General features: G+C 49.5%; 2 annotated features.

The window, feature by feature from the left end:
- Window positions 5,570–6,187: an enhancer, noted in NCBI's record as "H3K4me1 hESC enhancer chr15:75529495-75530112 (GRCh37/hg19 assembly coordinates)". NCBI's record gives its function as "activates a minimal SCP1, AML or CMV promoter by ChIP-STARR-seq in primed H9 embryonic stem cells {active_cell/tissue: H9 hESC(primed)}" and the evidence as "EXISTENCE:reporter gene assay evidence [ECO:0000049][PMID:30033119]".
- Window positions 6,188–6,804: an enhancer, noted in NCBI's record as "H3K4me1 hESC enhancer chr15:75530113-75530729 (GRCh37/hg19 assembly coordinates)". NCBI's record gives its function as "activates a minimal SCP1, AML or CMV promoter by ChIP-STARR-seq in primed H9 embryonic stem cells {active_cell/tissue: H9 hESC(primed)}" and the evidence as "EXISTENCE:reporter gene assay evidence [ECO:0000049][PMID:30033119]".

Here is a 19,398-nt window from a genome sequence, read left to right on the forward strand (position 1 = left end):
TTTTTTCCTCTCTGCCGTTTTCTTGAAAATCGCTCTCCAATGCAGTCATTCTCAGCTCTGCATTGGACAGCTGCCATGTTGGCCTGCCATCCAGACCTCTCTCACCTGGACGACTGCCCTGCTCCTAACAGGCCTCCCCTTCTCCCTCTCCCACCCCTGTTCCAAATGCTTCTCTTTACAGCCCCTCTCCCCGGTGTCCCTGTGCCTCTGCTGCCTCCAACCACCTCTTCACCTCAGGGTCATCACAGGTGCTGTTCTCTGCCTAGAAAGCCCCTCTGTGTTTCATCTGGCCACCTTCGGTGTCCCAGTTAAAATTCCCAGTTCTCAGAAAGGTGTGGTCTGGGCAGCCCCCTCTCCCCAGCAGCCCCCTCTCGCTGCTATCCTGTCTGCACTTCCCCTTTCCATAGCTTATCACAACTACGATGACATCTGGATTCATTTGATCACTCCTTGTAGGGCTGTCCTCTCCTCCAGACTGCAGGCTCCCTGAGGGCAGGGGCCATGCTTGCTTTGCTTACTGTGGTGTTCCCAGCACTTAGCACCATACCTGGTACCGTAGGTGCTCAGTTAGTGGTAGGAAGAAATGAGTTAGTTGACTAAATGAAGGGATGAACTAATAAATTAATGGACAGAGACTCAGAGTTCCCCCTGGATGCCAGTCAAGAAATGGCACTTGCTGGCTAGGGCACCCATGGTTCCAGAACCAAGGCGGAGGCGGATTTGGTTTTGGCTGCAGGAACTCTGCCTCGCTTTGCCTTACTGGCCACCTGCACGCTGGAGGAGGGGCCCTCACCTGGTGGTGGATGATCTTACGCAGCAGCTGGTGCTTCCAGGAGGCAGGGTTCAAGAGTGCAGCCGAGAAGGCTTCATTGGTGATTGTGAAGGTCACGGAGCGCGTCATGTGACTGGGTCCTGGGGTAGAGGAGACTGAGTCCTGGAATGAGAAGGTCTGGCTGCGATAAGGCAGGGCGGAAGACTGGATGGGGTCAGCACCCCCAGGGACCCTTGGGGAGCTGGGGCTGGGTGGGGCAGAGGGAAGGCGGGAGGAACATCTGAGAGGGAGGGTGGCTGTGGTGGCTGGGCTGGCAGGGACCCCTGGCCCAGGCTGGACTGTCCCCTGAAGTGTGGCTGGCTCTGCAACCATCAAGGGTGGTAGGGTGGGTGGGAGGCTGGAGGATCAGTGGGAGAATCTGTGCTTGTGTGTGGGAATAGACACAGAAGGGTCTGCAGAGGTTCTGGCTCTAGTACTTACAGGGGAAACTGGGGCCAGGATTGGGGATAGTGATGCAGTTGGTGACTGAAATGGCCATTGTGGTGGGGAAAGTGACAGTGACAGCGACAAAGATGGAACAATGTGTAGTGGGGACGAGGACGGGGCCAACACAGGTGAGAGGCATGGGGAGAAGGACAGTGATGGCTGTGAAGGTGGTGCTGCTGAGGGCGATGGCAACGTCAAAGGAACACTGGGCCCCGGGCCCCGGCTGGAAGCCACAGCCTCTCTGGGTGACCCTGAATCCCCTATGAGGACTGGGGAGGGACCTACAGGGGTAAGAGGCTCTGTGACAGCCAACGTGTTAACGATCGACGCAAGCACAAATGGGCTGGGGGGTTCTGAGGACACAGCCTTCCCCGTGGTCCCTGGAGCCAATGTCAGCGATGAGGAGGCTTCTGGGCCAAAGCTGCTAGCCCCTGACGCAGGCAGCATCCAGGCATGGGGACTGAAGGTGTGCCTGCTTGGGAGCCAGGGCATCCGCGGTGGGGATCCCAATATGGGTGCAGAGGTGGTGGGGGCAGAGGATGTTCCAGATGGCTGCTGGGTAGGTCTGGGGGTGCCAGAGGTCCTCAGGGTTGCAGGGGCAAGAGCATGAATTGTCACAGACAACTCAGGGGCCTCACTGGACTTTTGCCCAGACCCGAGATACCTTGGGCCAAGAGAAGCTGATGGTGGTAATGGGGCAGCAATCTCTGGAGATCCAGGGACCAACATCTCCTCTGCAGGTCCAGCCACAGATCCAGACACAAGTCCGGCCACAGAGGACACTGGCTGGGATTCAGGGGTTCTGTGGGCTGTGGGCCAGGCCAGTGCTGATGGGGCTGGTCCAGGTGGGGCCCTGCCTGGGACCCCAGCAGTTCCTGAAGGGACAGCCTGGTCCGAGGAGGAATCCAAAGACAAGGCGAGAGGAGCTTCCTGGTCCCCAGATACCTCGGGAGAGAGGGCTTCTGCCCTTGTGCTAGGAGCCTCCCCTTTCCTCTCCGCTGAGAGAGAGACTCCATCAACGATGGCTGGCAGGATGTTCAGTGACAGGAGTGTCTTCTTGCTGTTGCCTTGCAAAGCGGACGTGCCAGGGGCTGAGGGAGGCCAGCCGGGGTCTTTGTGAGTAGAAGGAAGGTTCAGGGCGGAAGCTGAGACCATCCAGAGAGCTGCAAACAGGAGATGCCTGTTCTGCCTGCCACCCGGGGGACTGGGGGGTGGGACTGCCCACAGCCTGTCAGATGCCACACCTTCCCTGCCACCTCCCTCGTTTGGGAAGGGGCCTGCGGAGATCCAAACCCTGGCCCAGCTCCGGCCCCAAACCACTGAGCTACCCCAGGAAAACATGCTGATCCTAACCCACCAGAGCTGAGGGAAGCAGGAGGGGACACTGACACTCCTCAAGGACCCCTCCCTGTGCCTCCCACCCCAACACCACCCATCGCAGGGTCCCTCCCCAAGGGCCTCAAGAGCTCCCCAGGGCGATGCTGTCTCCAGGCTGGGGGCCCTGGACTGTTCTGTTTGAATGACCTGTGAGGTCCACGCCAGCCTGAGGGTGCCAGGAAGTGCTGCCCAATCCTCATCATAAGACAAGGCTGTTGCCTTATCACATCCTCAGAACACAGCAGGCTGACAGCTGGACCTTAAAGTATTTTGTGGGGAGGGCGGGGGCCATCTCTGAAAGCCCTGGGGGCTAATTCCACACCTACCTACAAGTGTACACTGAGATCCATGCGGGGTCTGCCCTGTGCCAGGCTCCCCAAAGCTGGTCACCCTGAGTGCCCTCTGGGAGCCCCAAGCCTGGGGGACTGAGGAGTGGACCCTGGCCATGTCTTGGTATCCCCCAGGCTGTTCATGGCCAGACCCACATGAGGACAATGAAGGCCAAGCCAGATGTGGAAATTGATTGAGAAAGAGGACCCCTGGTCCAGGCCCAGCCCACCCTAATCCCTTACCAGCCAGGAGAATCCCAGCAGCCAGAAGCCACTGCACGCCCATGCTGAAGGCTCTCAAGGCTTCTAAGGCTTCAGAAGCAGGTGGCAAACACGAAGACACTCTCGAATTTCCCTTCAAGAAAGGACTGATGTTGCCCAGCCTTTCCCACATTTCCACCCCTGTGGCTGGGGGTGCAAGCCTGGCTGCCCTAACTCGCCGGGTGCCCTTCAGCAAAGCCCTTGACCTCTGGGGCTGCAGAGTCTTGAATGGGGGCAGCCTGTGCCTGCCCCACAGCCTGGGAGGTTATGGGCCTGAAAACACATTGAGGAGGAGTTCAGAGTCCTATCCAGTCTTCAAATGGAGGTGGTGACCATGCCGGTGATGGGGGTATGAGTGTGGGTTTGGGTGTGATGTGGAATGACTGTGGTGAGTGTAGTTGTGAGGACAGTGGCTGCAGGGATGCTGGAGGTGCTGATTGTGGCTGTGGTGGGAGCTCTATGTCCAGGTGGTATGGAGCTCGCTGGGGAGGGGTTGGTCCATGTCCCATCCCCTGGCCAGCTCCTGTCCCAGTTTGGTCCTGCTCCTATTCCATCGGGCTGCGTGGGGGTTTGGAGAGGGGAAGATCAGAAGAGAATAGTCCTCCTCCTGCAGTGCTTTTCCCGTGTGGAATCCTGATCAGAGCCCTGGACTGGGCAGGGTGAGTGTGGAGGTGGGCGCACCTGGATAGAACCATCCTTCTCGGGTCCCCTGCGCATTCCTCTCATGCCCCTGCCCCCTCCCCAGCCTCTGACACAGGAGAGGGCCATGGCAGCCCTAAGAGGCTTAGAGAGCTGCCAAAGGACAGGCAGGGTGGGAGGCTGGCGCCTCGTGGGATGGCTCAGGTCTCAGATCTAGCCTCCCACCCCACCTGCTGGGGTCCTGGGGAGTTTCCAAAGCCTCTCCCACCAGGCTCCTGGTGTCTGTGTGACCCTGCCATGATTTGTCCCAGGTCACCAGAGCCTCCTCTGGTGGGAAGATAATGGCTGGAAACCTTCAATAGGAAATCAGACCTGGAGAGGGCCTTGGCCAGACTCCTGTCCTCCCCACCCAGCTCCTTCTACCTGGATACCCCTTCCCCCATCTCCTGGGTCCTCATCTCCTGTCCCCTCCAGATCAGGCTGGCTGGAGCCAAAGCTGGGGGGCAGGGCTGTCTCCCCTCCCCGTTGGAGCTATTTTCCAAGGGTTGGGGAAAGCAATCCTCCACAACCCACCCCTCCACCGCAAGGCCTGTAACCCAGGCTGTACACACCTCCCAAAGCAGCCCCTCTTCCTCCCAGTTCACCACAACTCATCTGTTTGGAAACCTTGCATCCTCCGCTGTTTCCTGGCTCCTCTGGGAGAAGCTGTTAAGGGGCCAGCCTGGCCAGGTCGGGGTGGGGACGGATGGCTTCCCAACGACAGGGAGGGAGGCTTGGGCCTTTGGCAACTTCTACCTCGAGTCCTGGTTTCATTGGCCCCATTCTCCCCCAAGCCCTTCCACAGGCCACCCATCTAGGGGCCCGTGACCCCATCTCCAGGCCAGCCAACCCACTCTAGCACCCCCATTCTGCCTCCCTTCCCTGTGCCCCCAGGATGCCCAGGTCTCACCTGGTGGACCTGGTGCTGCTGAGAAGCCTCTGTCTGTGGAGGCGCTGGTGTCCCACAGAGGCAGGGTGAAAGCAGCATCAGCACCCTCTGCCCAACCCCTGCTGGGCCTGGAAGGGCCACCCCTTTCCCTGGCACACTCAGGGCCAGGAAGATCTGCTCTCTGATGGCTCTGCCCACACCCTAGGACACTGGGTCCTCATCTCCTGTACCCTCCAGATCAGGCCGGCTGGAGCCAAAGCTGGGGGGCAGGGCTCTGGCATTGCTGGGCCTCTGCCGAGAGTCTGTCAGTGCTGAGGCCTGCTTGGCAACAGTGGGGAAAGCAGCAGCTCCCTGGGACATGATGAGTGATAAGGGACAGAAACACACCTGAAGGCCATTCCATGCCATCGGGCAGAGGGCTCAGGATCCAGGAGTGGGGAGGTGATGCAGGAAGCCAGGCACACGCTCCCTTTTCCCACCAACACCCTGTCCTGACCAAGGACAATTTTGGAGAAAACTCAACCAAGAACTGGAGATCCAGGCTCTCTGTGGGCCAGGGTCAGGGTTCAGTCTATGTCTAAGATCAGGGCTCAGAGAATGGCCAGGATCAGGGCTGAGTCTGTGACAAGTGTCAGGGCTCAGTGTGGGGTCAGGGGTAGGCGAGTCTGGAATTTGAATGCTTGCCAGGCTAGACCTAGGCTCTCTCTCACACTGTTCTTCCCCTGCCCTACCCTCTCATCAGAGGGCATCTGAAGACCTGAAATAACCCATCCTGATACCTGAAATAAATTGGATGGGAACTCTGGCCTCACATCAATAAATGTTTCAACAATAATACTTTGAAAACAGCCACAGTGTCCAGGACAGGATGGGGGTTGGGCCCCGAGGGTTGGGTGATATTCCTTCTGTCATGAGCCAGCTTCAGCCCCCTGGGCCAGGGCCTCCCTGGCCCTCTAGTCCACGACAGCATTCCCCTTCTCCTCTGAGCTCCAGAGCCTTGCTAGGCCTGCAGTCCAGGTGCAGTTACACCCTGCTGTTCCATGGTAGAGTCCTGCCCCTCTCCACACCCCTCCATGCGCCTCCCTGCACAGCTGAGCACAGAGGGGACCCTTCTCCCACTGACCGTTCAGGGCCGTGGCTTCCCAGCTGCTCCATTCCACTTGGCTCCCTGGGGCAGGAGGAGGGGGCTGCACGAGGCTCATCCTGTATCCCTCCTCCAGGGCCAGAGGAGGGGCTGTGTGGAACCCCAAAGGGTCCTGGAGAGTAGTGGGGGGCAGCGGGCAAGGTGGGGCCCCAAGGGGAGGAGCAGAACAGAAGCAGGTCACTCGGGGGCTGAGCCAGGAAGACATTTGCCTAGACAAACGGGCCATGGGGCCAGCAGATGATGCACTTTGCCTGTGTACCTTCCAGGGCAGGCTTCCCTAGCTGCAGGGATGGGGGGCCAGGCTGGCCTGCTCTTTCCTGCCTCCCAGCCCAAGCTCCGGTGGAGGCGGGGCGGCATTCCATCTTACTCTCCTGTGTGGCCCTTGGCAAGTGCCTGCCAGATCCAGACCTTAATCTCCTATCTGTTACCTTACTCATCAGAGAGAAGTGCTCTGAAGGTCTGGGGGCCCAGGCCCCTTGATCAGGACAGAACTTGGGGCTCACAGGAAGAACAGGGAAGAAAGGGTTGGGGAACCTGGGACCCTGCACATCGTCTGCAAATTCTGAATTCTCCATGTGGCATTCAAGGCCTCGGTGCTTCAGCTGCAGCCTGCCTTGCTGACCTCAGTCCTGGGGCTGGGTGGACCAGGAAGTGCTCACAGTCCCATCTCTCCCCCATCCCTCTGGTCACATGCCAGAGCCCTCCAGTTCCCTCCCTAACCCAGGGACCCAGTCAAGGCTCTCTGAGGGCCTGGGAAGGGTCTTGGGTTTACAGCCCTGCTCACTGCCTCATCACCCAGATATCGAGAATGGATGTCACACACATCTTCCAAGCAGGTTGACAGGATCGGAATTGGTCTGTGAGCCACTGTTGGGGGCAGGGATGAGTGGATGTCCCCGCTGAACGAGGCAGACTACCTGCCTCCCTGCCCAGCCTTAGTCCCACTGGCTGCCTGTCCCTTCTCCCTGGGAATAATGGTGTCCCAGGCAGGAAACTCGGCCCCAAAACCAAGACTTTCCCTTTATCTCCAAAGGCACTTCTTCCTGGTCAGGGCCCTGACACCCAATGTCACTCACTCCTCCTGAGCTCTCAGGCCAGGCTGGTATCTGTCCTGCTAGAGCCTCTGCCTGGATCCTCTATGCATGGTGTTGAAAGATCATTTTTTTAAGAAAGGAAAATCTTGATTCTCATATAGATAAAAATTGAACATATGTAAAAGATTGTATTTAACTCATTATTAACGAGGGAACCTGGAGATGTTACAACCAGTTCAAAGGAGAAGTCAAAGAAGCATATATTTATATGGAGTCAAGGAATGTTGAAATAAATTTACAAACAGATATATAAAGCTGGCTTTTTTACTTGGGGGAGGGAGTCAATTTAACCTCCACTGGACCATTTACTTGCATGATTATAGAGATGAATGATTTTGCATTGCGATCTGTCATCTGCAAGGTACAGAGTTGTAAAACAGCTAGAAGGCAATGAAGGGCTAGAATCATTAGTCAGAAGGGTGGGCTCTAATTGAAACAATGCAGTTTTCCATTGGAGACATCCAATAATGTTTTTTTCTTATTCCAAATTTTCTTACAGTGGTCTGTCTCTCTGAGCTGTGGGGCAGAAGAAGAGGGACTTAGGAAGTATTGGAGATGTCAGGGCAGGCTTCCTCGAGGAAGAGAAGACAAGGGAGGAGAGGAGAGGGACTAGCAGAGATCACTAGTTGTCCCCAAGTAATCCTCTTATTAAAATAATTAATTGGGAGCATGACTGAGGTGGCTATAGTACTCTGAGTTCTTTTTTTTATTATTAAAAAAAATTGAAACAGGGTCTCGCTCTGTTGCCCAGGCTGGTCTTGAACTCCTGGCCTCAAGTGATCCTCCTGCCTCAGCTTTCCAAAATGCTAGGATTACAGGTATGAGCCACCATGCCTGGCCATACCCTAGGTTCTTTTGTAAGCAAACTGAAACCCCACTCATCATGAACAGCCATATCCTAGAAAACAAAATTTTACAAAATCAGAAACTGCCAACTAACCTCTATCTAGGGACTTCACCAATCAGAAACCACCAACTAACCTCTAACTAGGGACTTCACCAATCAGAAACTACCAACTAACCTCTCACTAGGGACTTCACCAATCAGAAAACACCAACTGTCCTATAGGGATTTTACCAATCAGAAACCACCAACTAACCTCTAACTAGGGACTTCACCAATCAGAAATCACCCACTAATCACTAACTAGGGACTTCACCAATCAGAAACCACCAACTGACTTCTAAGGACATTAAGGCCACTGCTCCACTTTAACCAATCAAATGTTTTCTTTGCCTTGCTTTTGTGTGCACCTTATACAAGCTTTCCCCTCGAGCTCCAAACCACTCGCTGTCTGGCACTGCCTGATTCTTGAATCACTGTCTGCTCCAACTCCTAAAATTCTAAGTGCTTAGGTCTCTCTCTCTCCCTCTCTCTCTCTCTCTCTCTCTCTCTCTCTCTCTCTCTCCCCCCCTCCCTCCCTCCCTCCCTCCCTCTCTCTCTCCCTCCCTCCCTCCCTCCCCCCCCCTCCCTCTCTCTCTCTCTCTCTCTCTCTCTCTCTCTCTCTCTCTCTTTCTTTCTTTCTTTTGAGACGGAATTTCGCTCTTGTCCCCCAGGCTGGAACGCAATGGCACGATCTTGGCTCACTGCAACCTCCACCTCCCAGGTTCAAGGGATTCTCCTGTCTCAGCCTCCCAAGTAGCTGAGATTACATGCATGTCCCACCACGCCCAGCTAATTTTTATATTTTCAGTAGAGGCGGGGTTTCGCCATGTTGGCCAGGCTGGTCTCAACTCCTGACCTCAAAGCGATCTGCCTGCCTCAGCCTCCCAAAGTGCTGGGATTATAGGCATGAGCCACTGTGCCTGGCCAGGTTTATCTTTTAACACATCCTTAATTAGTAACAGTGTTCCTGCTTTTTAACTGGGCACATGGTGCTCCAGAATAAAGACTATATTCCCCAGCCTCCCTTGTAGGTCGGTGTGCCTGTGTGACGCAGTTCTAGCCAATAGGATAAAGTGTCATGAGGCTGTAAGTGCACTAGACATCCTTGTTAAGTCACCTTACCAATTGTGAACTGCCACCTTCAGACTTGTGTTGGTGTGAGAGAGAAATAAACTTCTCTCTCATTTGAGCCACTATTATTTGGGGCTTTCTGTTCTTCCCTGTCCTCGCCTGAGTTATACATCCACGCAGGGCAGAAGTCTTGCCTGACACGCACCCCTGCCCCACCTTGGCAGCACTCAACTCAGCCAACGTAAGTAGGACTCACTCAGTGGAGGCGGAGGGCAGTCAGTGGACAGGCATTCCCTTCCAGTCAGCCTACCCTTCCAAGCCTTCTTGGCCTTTCATAATTTTCTTTACCGTTCTGCATGTCTGGAGTGAACACCTTTCACTCTAGATGAGGGTACCCCTCATTCTTCCCAGGCTCATTCCTACCTCCATGCTTTTGCTTCTGACTCAAGGAGCAGGCAGTATGAATAGACTTAACCAAGGAAAAAAATGGGAAAAGCTGTGCAATTTTTACCTTTAATAAAAACTGGCTACAAAAAAAACCCCAAAATCTGTTTGAAGGCATCAAAGAGTTAACACAATAGTGAAGAATTTCTAGACTAAGACACAGGAAGAGACAGCAATCCAGAGAGGTAACTCAGTACTCGGAGCTACTTTTCACATGCGGTTGTTCCCCACCTCTAAAAAGGCAGCTGAGAAGCTGGGCAGTACATGTTGAACAGCGTCTAGGTGCAATGGGGACAAAAGTTTGAGTCCAGGGACTGCCAAAGCCTGGGGCAGGGTATTGTGTGTAGCTCTCATAAACCCACAGACCATAAGGTGGGGACAATGAAAGGCTGTACCTTGAGAGTTAGGGTATTCTGAAAGTAAACTGAACCTCGCAGAGACTGCAGTCCAGCTTTGAGTCGCAATTCCCCCAGTTTTTTATGTTTATTTTATTATTATTATTTTTGAGACAGTCTCACTCTATTGCCCAGGCTGGAGTGTAGTGACACAATCTCAGCTCACTGCAACCTCCACCTCCCAAGTTCAAGTGATTCTCCTGCCTCAGCCTCCCAAGTAGCTGGGATTACAGTCACCTGCCACCATGCCCATCTAATTTTTTTGTATTTTTAGTAGAGATGGGGTTTCACCATATTGGCCAGGCTGGTCTCGAACTCCTGACCTCAGGTGATCCACCCGCCTTGGCCTCCCAAAGTGCTGAGATTACAGGTGTGAGCCACCGCACCCGGCCTCAATCCCCAAAATTGAATTTAAAATTTTTGGATTGCTAGTGTATTCAGGTATGTGGAATGGGAAAACAGAATTGTCTCTGGAGGAAGACAACATTATCGTAAGCCTCAAAGCATTACAAACTGATTTTTAAAAAATGTTTGGCACACAACTAAGGTAGCTAGACTCAGTAGGACACAACACAACATGAACCAAGAACTATCAGAAAGAAGCAACGATAGAAACATGCTCGGAGATTCCAGATATTGGAATCAGACACAGGCTACAAAATAACTATACTTAATATGTTCAAGGAAGTAAAATATAAGATGCAAGAGTTTAGAAAACTACAAAAAAAATAGCACCACAGGTATTTAAAAAGTAAATTCTAAATTGAAAAGTACAATAGCATTAACTTGGGGCTCAGTGGCTCATGCCTATAATCCCAATACTTTGGGAGGCCGAGGCAGGGTTACTGCTTGAGGCCCAGGAATTTGAGACCAGCTGGTGGTCTGTGCCTATAGGTCTGGCTACTCAGGAGGGTGAGGCGGGAGAATCACCTAAGCCCAGAAGTTTGAGGTTACATTGAGCTATGATCGCACCACTACACTCCATCCTGGGTGGTAGAAGAAGGCTCTCTCTTAGAAAAAGAAAGAAAGACAAAATACAATAACTAAAATTAATAATTCCATTCATGGTTTCCAGAGCCAATTAGACACAGTTGAGAGAGAATTAATGAACTGGAAGATATTGAAAGTAATGGCTGGCCAGGCGCGGTGGCTCATGCCTGTAATCCCAGCACTTTGGGAGACAGAGGTGGGCAGATCACCTGAGGTCAGGAGTTCAAGACCAGCCTGGCCAACATGGTGAAACCCCATCTCTACTAAAAATACAAAAATTAGCCAGGAGTGGTGGCACAAGCCTGTAATCACAGCTACTCAGGAAGCTGAGGCAGGAGAATTGCTCGAACCCAGGAGGTGGAGGTTGCAGTGAGCTGAGATTGTGCCACCGCACTCCAGCCTGGGCGACAGAGTGAAACTCCATCTCAAAAAAATAAAATAAAATAAAATAAAATAAAATGGCAAAAACTGCAATTACTTTTTCACCAACCTAGTAATTCAGAAGAAAATATTCAGAATGAAACATGAAGGGACAAAAAAAATAAAACACACAGAAGAGAAAGTAAGTGATACAGAGGATACACTAGGGATCCTCTAGAGATATATTTTCATAATTTAAAAATATTTTGTCATTTAAAAAAAAAAATAGTGCTAAGATAACAGGCGTGAGCCATCACACCTGGCCCAAATATCTTTATTTTGCCTTTTTATCTGACAGATATTTTCGCTAAGAATGGAACTTGAGGCTGGCAGTTATTTTCTTTTGGTACGGTGAAGGTGTCATTCCATGGTCTTCTGGTTCCTGAGGTTTCTGTTGAGAAGTTGACTGTCAGCCTAATTATTGCTCCTTTGAAGGCAACCTGAATTTTTTCTCAGATACTTCTGGGGTTGCGGGGGGACAAAAAAGGGATCATACACTCCCAGAGTGCTGGATTACAGGGTCTCACTTTGTCACCCAGGCTGGAGTGTAGTGGTGCGATCTCAGCTCACTGCAGCCTGGATCTCCTGGGCTCAAGCAATGCTTCCACCTTAGCCCTTCAAGTAGCTGGGACTACAGGTGCACACCACCACATATTTGACTAGGCCAAATATACCTTTAATCAGCATCCCAGAAAAAAAGGAAAGAGGGGCCAGGCGCAGTGGCTCACAGAATCCCAGCACTTTGGGAGGCCAAAGCAGGCAGATCGCCTGAGCCCAGGAGTTCAATACTAGCCTGGGCAACATGGTGTAACCCCGACTCTACAAAAAATACGAAAATTAGCCAGGTGTGGTGGTGCACGCCCGTGGTCCCAGCTACTAGAGAGGCTGATCTGGGAGCATCTCTTGGGCCTGGGAGCTCTAGGCTGCAGTGAGCACTTCAGCCTGGGCAACAGAGCAAGACCCTGTCTCAAAATAAATAAATAAAGGGATAGAAAGAGATAATGAGGCAGAAGCAATATTTTAAAAAAATAATGACAGAGAATACTTTTTAAATTATGAAAAACAATAGTTCACAGATTTAAGAAGCCTCATGAACCCCAAGCAGGACAAATAAAAATAATAGTACACCTAGACACGTTATGGTAAAATTGCAGAAAGCCAAAGGCAAAAACTTTCTTTAATCTTAAAAGTATCCGAGCCAGTCATGTTGGCTCATGCCTGTAATGCCAGCACTTTGAGAGGCTGAGGTGGGTGGTTTGCTTGAGCTCAGGAGTTAAAGGCTGGCCTAGGCAACATGGTGAAACCCTGTCTCTACAAAAAATAGAAAAAATTAGTCAAGTGTGGTGGTGTATGCCTGGAGTCCCAGCTACTTGAAGTGCTGAGGTCGAAGGATTGCTTGAGACCAGGAGGTCTGGGCTGCAGTGAGCTGAGATTGCACCACTGCACTTCAGCCTGGGTGACAAAGTGAGACCCTGTAATCCAGCACTTTGGTAGTGCATGACCCCTTTTTTTGGTCCCCTACCAAAAAAGAGTATCTGAGAAAAAATTCAGATTGCCTTCAAAGGAGCAACAATTAGGCTGTCAGTCAACAGAAACCTCAGGAACCAGAAGACCATGGAATGACACCTTCACTGTACCAAAAGAAAATAACTGCCAGCCTCAAGTTCCATTCTTAGTGAAAATATCTGTCAGATAAGAAGACAAAATAAAGATATTTGGGCTAGGTGTGGTGGCTCATGCCTGTAATCCCAGCACTTTGGGAGGCTGAGGTGGGTGAATCACCTGATGTCAGGAGTTTGAGACCAGCCTGACCAATATGGTGAAACCCTATCTCTACTAAAAATACAAAAATTAGCCAGCCATGGTGGCATGTGGCTGTAGTCCCAGCTACTCGGGAGGCTGAGGCAGGAGAATCACTTGAACCTGGGAGGTGGAGGTTGCAGTGAGCTGAGATCATGCCACTGTACTCCAGCCTGGGTGACAGAGCGAGACTCCATCTCAAAAATAATAATAAAAATAAAATAAAAATTTTTTAAAAATTTTAAAAAGTAGCCCTAGAGAGTAGACTTTTAGGACAGGATCCTGGAACTCACTAATCAGGTGGCAACAGGATCCATTGTTGGTGGTAAGTGGGGTAGTGATGTGCTGGTGGGCTATAGCAATACCATCACTAGGAAACTCACCTACTGTGGATTGGGATATGGTACAGGTGGAAGGGCAGGCATTGCTGATGCAGTAGCGCTAGAACAAAGTTCTCCAAATCTGGTTCCTGGATCATCAGCAGCAGCACGGCTGCATGCTTGAGACCTGGCGCTGGAGACCGGCCTGGGCAACATAGGTAGACCCTGTCCACAAAATATTTAAAATTAGCTAGGTGTGGTGGCACATGCCTGTGGTTCCAGCTACTCAGGAGGCTGAGGTGGGAGGATTGCTTGAGCCCAGGAGGTTGAGGCTGCAGCAAGCCATGATCACACCACTCCACTCCAGCCGGGGTAACAGAGCAAGACCTCATGTCAAAAAAAAAAAAAACAAACAAACAAAAAAAAAAGAAGACAAAGAAAGGGCTGGGCACAGTGGCTCACACTTGTAACCCAACACTTCAGGAGGCCAGGGTGGGTGGACCTCTTGAGTTCAGGAGTTTGAGACCAGACTGGGCAACATGGCAAAACCCCATCTTTACCAAAAATACAAAAAATTAGCCAGGCATGGTGTTGCGCACCTGTGGTCCCAGCTATTCAAGAGGCTGAGGTGGGAAGGATTGCTTGAGCCTGGGAGGTGGAGGTTGCAGTCAGTTGAGAACATGCCACTGCACTCCAGCCTGGGTGACAGAGTGAGATCCCATCTCAAAATAAAGAAAAGAAAAGAAATGAAACAAAACGAAATGAAACAAAATGAAAAGAAAAGGGATCCTGATATCTGATATGGAGAAACTTAAGTGGATACATCTGAGAACTTTGAACCTCCAGTTTCCACTAAATGCTCTGGTCTAAAGGAAGTAGCCCCCTTTCCTTGCTAAGAGAAGGGCAGCTGCCCCTTGCCTGGAGACTAGGCAAAGAGCCTCCAACAAGGCCTTACAGCAGGATGAGGTGTGTCGTCATTGCTGCCCCACATTGACACCAGGCTATGGTCATTTCTCATCATGGCCCAAGGTCACAGGCACAATCTGCTCTGGGAGAATGATTTTTTTTTTTTTTTTTTTGCCAAAAATGCAGGAGCTGCCAAGTGCCTACTGGCAGAATCTAGGAGAGGAGGTGAAGAAGTGGACATAAGGGTGTTGGACCAGGGGGAGACTAAAGGCTGTATACATGAGAATATACTAACCTGGGGGCACTCTCAAGATTTAATGGCTTGGCAAAGACACCTGGGGCTCCAACACAGTGCTGGAGTGGCTCCTTGAAATGTGGACGGAACAGTTGCTGCAGTGAATTAGGAGGAGATTATAGAATTGCATTTGCAAAGCGTCAAAGAAGCCAGAAAGTACAGGGAGGTAGGAATGTTGGAATGGTTCATTATATGCCAGGAGATTCGGAATCCACCACTTGACTATGTGCCCTTGGAGGGCTCACAGGAACTCCCCTCTCTAGGCAAGCAAGGAAGGCACTAGTGAGAAGGGCACCTGAATCTTTGAGGGACTCAGTGGCACTATCCTTGGTAGGCCAGGATCGACAAGAGGAGATGCTGCCATGAGACCAGGCTTCGTGGTGTCAGTGGGAACGGTGGAAGGCGAGAACAGCGGATGCCAGGTGGTGGCCCTTCACCATCATCCACAAGGTGGATGTAATTAACTTAATTGGTAGGAAGGCTAGAGTGACAGCCAGGATGCCTTGACCTCCAGGGAGCTGTTGTGTTAGCTACAAACTGATGGCATTCATGCATACTGCTGCACTCCAGCCTGGGCAACACAGTGAGACGCTGTCTCAAAAACAAAACAAAACAAAAAAAGTGTTGCTATAATGGCACCAATTGTATATGAAGTTCCTGAAATTCTGACCTCCACTAATATTATTGTGTGATTAAAAAAAATTCCATACTTGAAAGCAACACACCAATAGAGGCAAGCAAACCATGTTTTGCACCAAACAACTATCAATGGTGATGGCACGTGGATCTCCCTTTCAGAACCCTGGGCTTCTCAGTACCCTAAAGGCTTTCTGCAGACAAGGTAACTATCAGAATCACATGGAGAAGACCAGAGCCTGGAAGGAAACCTGAGAATTTTTTATTTCAACCTTCTTCATTTTACACAGAGACAAAACTGAAATTCAGAAGAGTTCTGGTTTCTCAAGGCACACCACTAGTCAATAAACACACAGAGCCAGAAGCTAGATCTAGCTCAGTGTTCTTTTAAAGCTTTAAAAATTGCTCTCTGCTAGTAAAGCTTACAACCTGACAATAACATAATATATACACACACAAATACAGTTATTTCCAAAATAGATTTCGGGGTTGGGGGGGCAGACCCTGCATTTTCACAAATTATAATTTAAGAATTGCAAAATCTGTCTCCAGTATTCGTAACAGGATGTCATTAACCAGTCCCCATAGTGGGTTGGACGTCTAGGTTGTTTCCAACTATTTGCTTTTATAATTATCCATTATAATGGTGAAAAATTGGAAACAACCTAAATGTCCAACAATACAGGCATTAATTCTCTAAAAAGTGAATATCAAATAGCCATAAAAAAGACATTAAAGACCCAGAAGTGTTGCTAATTGAGCAAAAATACATTAAAGACCATTTCAGTTCAGATGCAGTGGCTCACACCTGTAATCCCAGCACTTTGGGAGGCTAAGGCGGGCAGATCACTTGAGGCCAGGAGTTTGAGACCAGCCTGGCCAACATGGCGAAACCACACTGTAAGGTACATGGATGTGCTTTGGTCAAGGAATAGGCTGAGGCGGATATCCAGGCCTGCGTGACTCAGGAGTTTGGCGTGCAAATGCACACCTCCACTTGTCATATAACCTGTTTGTGTAAGTTCATGCTTGGCTTTATGCCACTATTGTATGTAAAAGGTATAACTGACCTGTTGACGTTGTGCATAAGAGACATGGCTCTTGGGGGCTTGGCTGGTCTCAGCTCAACATGGCTTGACATGGCAGGCGCACTGGTGCCCAGAGAAAGAGAGAGCACGCCAAAGCTGTCCATCTTGCCGATGGATGGGAGGGAGCCAGGATGCAGCTGGGCTTGCTCATGCCCAGAGAGAGAAAGAGTTAAGCTGCTGACCCTGAAGGTAAGGGAGAGCCGGCTGCACAGCTGTGTGTGGGGGCAGCTGGCTCAAGCCGCCAAGACAGGGTGAACGGTAAGCTGCTAATCAGAGGGCTAGTGTAAGAAAGCTGTTAATGAGAGCTGCTGCTGAATGAAACTATCTTTCACCTGCCTACGGCCCCTTGAGTGTTCTTTCAGCTCACCCACCCCCTTTCCTCAGACTTCAGCATGGGCTGGACCTGGACCCCGGGATCTGACACACATCTCTACCAAAAATACAAAAATTAGCTGGTGTGGTGGCACATGCCTGTAATTCCAGCTACTAGGGTGGCTGAGGCACGATGATCGCTTGAACCCAGGAGGCAGAGGTTGCAGAGTCAAGATCGCACCACTGCACTCCAGCCTGTGCAACAAAGCATTACCCTGTCTCAAAAACTGAAAAAGTTAAAGACTGTTTGTACAGTATAAACTCTTTCAAAATATATACTCAAGCATAGAAAAGTCTAGAAATGTCATCAATGGTGATTTCAGGAAAGAATTCTAAGGTGACTTTTTTTGGTTATCTGCATTTTTTTTCTTTTATTTTTTTGACGTAGGGTCACCTCTGTCACCCAGGCTGGAGTGCAGTGACGTGATCAGAGCTAACTGCAGTCTCGACCTCCCAGGCTTAAGCGATCCTCCCACCTCAGTCTCCTGAGTAGCTGGGACTACAGGTGCACGCTACCATGCAGGGCTAATTTCTGTATTCTTGTATTTCTTGCAGAGATGGGGTTTTGCCATGTTGCCCAAGCTGGTCTCACGTGATCCACCCACCTCAGCCTCCCAGTGTGCTGGGATTACAAGTGTGAGCCATGTGTGCTGGGTCTGTCTTCTTTTCTATAATGATCATGACCATGGATTTCATGTACCAACATTTTTCTAACAGTAATATTTACAAAGCATACTATGAAAAATGTTCAGAGAAAAAGAATACAAAATTGTAAAAATCATATATAACGAGTTTTTTTTTTTAAAGGCAAGAAAGAAAGTAGATTGTCCAGGAAGATAGTTACTTCCACTTTGTATTTTTCCGGTGAACTCATTAAAAGGTCCAGGAGTAGAATCATGGGTCAAAGTACCCCGGCTTTAACTTCTGGTTCAGAGAATCCTAACAACTGACATTGTCACCAGCAAGGTCTTCGACTACCTGAGCAACTCTCACCTCAAAGCAATTCTTATCTGACATTAGCTGCTCAGCTTTCCGCTGATACGTTGACTCCAGGAGGCTCCTTGAGTTCTGTGTGTTCAGCTGGCCTCTGGTGGCCCCATTATTATTTTCTGCCAGGTAAAGATCAGTCACCTGCACACAGATCTCATCACTCACGATATGCTGCAGCTGGAATCAAACAAACGCAAGCTTTTAGTGAACACAGAAAACATTTCTCCATTATACAGTCAACGTTCCTTTGACTGATCCAGTCAATCAACTCAAAAAAGGTTTTGGTTTTTTTTGGCTGGCAATTTTAGAAAATTAATCACACTGTGTCATTTTCTTGGAGAAAAATCAAGCCAAGATTTTCAACCATATCAGTGGTCCACTGTAAAACTTTCATACCTATTTAAAATACAAACCATAGAGAACTCAGGTTAATGTACTGTTTATCTAAAATTCTGAGGATCTTTAAATAATTTTCCATGGGTCATACTTCTATTACATTTTCAAATCATTTAGAATTTGATTTCACACATATTCTCTCTCATTTGATCCTCACAACAGCCCTGGGAAGCAGGTTGGAGACAGACTTGGGGCCGGTTAGGAGACAAATTTACACAATGCATAAGAAAGCTCACTGTGAACCGGGGTGAGGAAGGGAGGCTTGGAGAATCATGAATGCAGTATCTATGTCTATATTCCCAGCCCAACTACAAAGCCTGAAATTCATTAGGTATTTAAGAAATAGCTGCTGAATTATTGCCTCAGGGTGCTCAGCCGAAGAAGCAGGATTGGGACTAACAGTCAAGCTCCCTGACTCCTAGCCGAATACTTTTCCAAACCCACCACCTATTTTTCTATATCTGATAAAATGTATAGTGCTTAAGTTGTACATAATGTTAACTCACTTTCAATACAGGCCAATCATGATTGACTATCAGTAGCTTTTGTGACAATCTTAGTAAATTAGAAAGTTAAACCTTTCAGAGTTCCCATTCTCATGTCGTATGCTATTTCTATTTTGAAATAAAAATCCTTCCAATTGAAACTTTATCCATCAAAATGACAGAGAAGTGAAAAATAGATACAAGAATAAAACAAAACATTAATTTCAACATCAATTTGTCTATTTTGCTTTAAAATTATCATAACCACAAAGCCTTCCTATTTTTAGGAAGATACTTTCTTTTTAAGTGTTAGGAACCATGATAACTATTTGTTCTTAAGTCCTAAATGACCAGTATGGATATTAGTAGATAACTGGACACAGTGAAAGGTCAGAACGTGACTGAGTGTGGCAGAAAGGGCAGTATCTCCAGCAACTGCAGATGGATAAATGACAATGAGTCCAGATAATGGATTATGATACAACCATTCAAATAATGCTTATGAGTACTTGCTAACATGAGGACAATCTTAAGATATAGTGTTTGAGAGAGAAAAAAGGAAAGGTGGAAAAAAATAGATGGAAAGCATGACTTCAATCATGCATAGAGATGCTGCCACTTTATCCTTTTTTTTTTTTTTTTTTTTTTGCGACAATGTCCCACTCTGTTGCCCAGGCTGGGGTGCAGTGACATCATGATCTCGGCTCACTGCAGCCTCTACTTCCTGGGCTCAAGCAATATGCCCACTTCAGCCTCCTAAGTACCTGGGACTACAGGCATGTGCCACCATGCCCAGCTAATTTTTTGTATTATTAGTAGAGATGGGGTTTTACCATGTTGCCCAGTCTCAAACTCCTGAGCTCAAGTGATCTGC

This window comes from Homo sapiens, chromosome 15, assembly GCF_000001405.40.
Source record: "Homo sapiens chromosome 15, GRCh38.p14 Primary Assembly".
In the NCBI taxonomy this organism is placed as follows: Eukaryota; Metazoa; Chordata; class Mammalia; order Primates; family Hominidae; genus Homo; species Homo sapiens.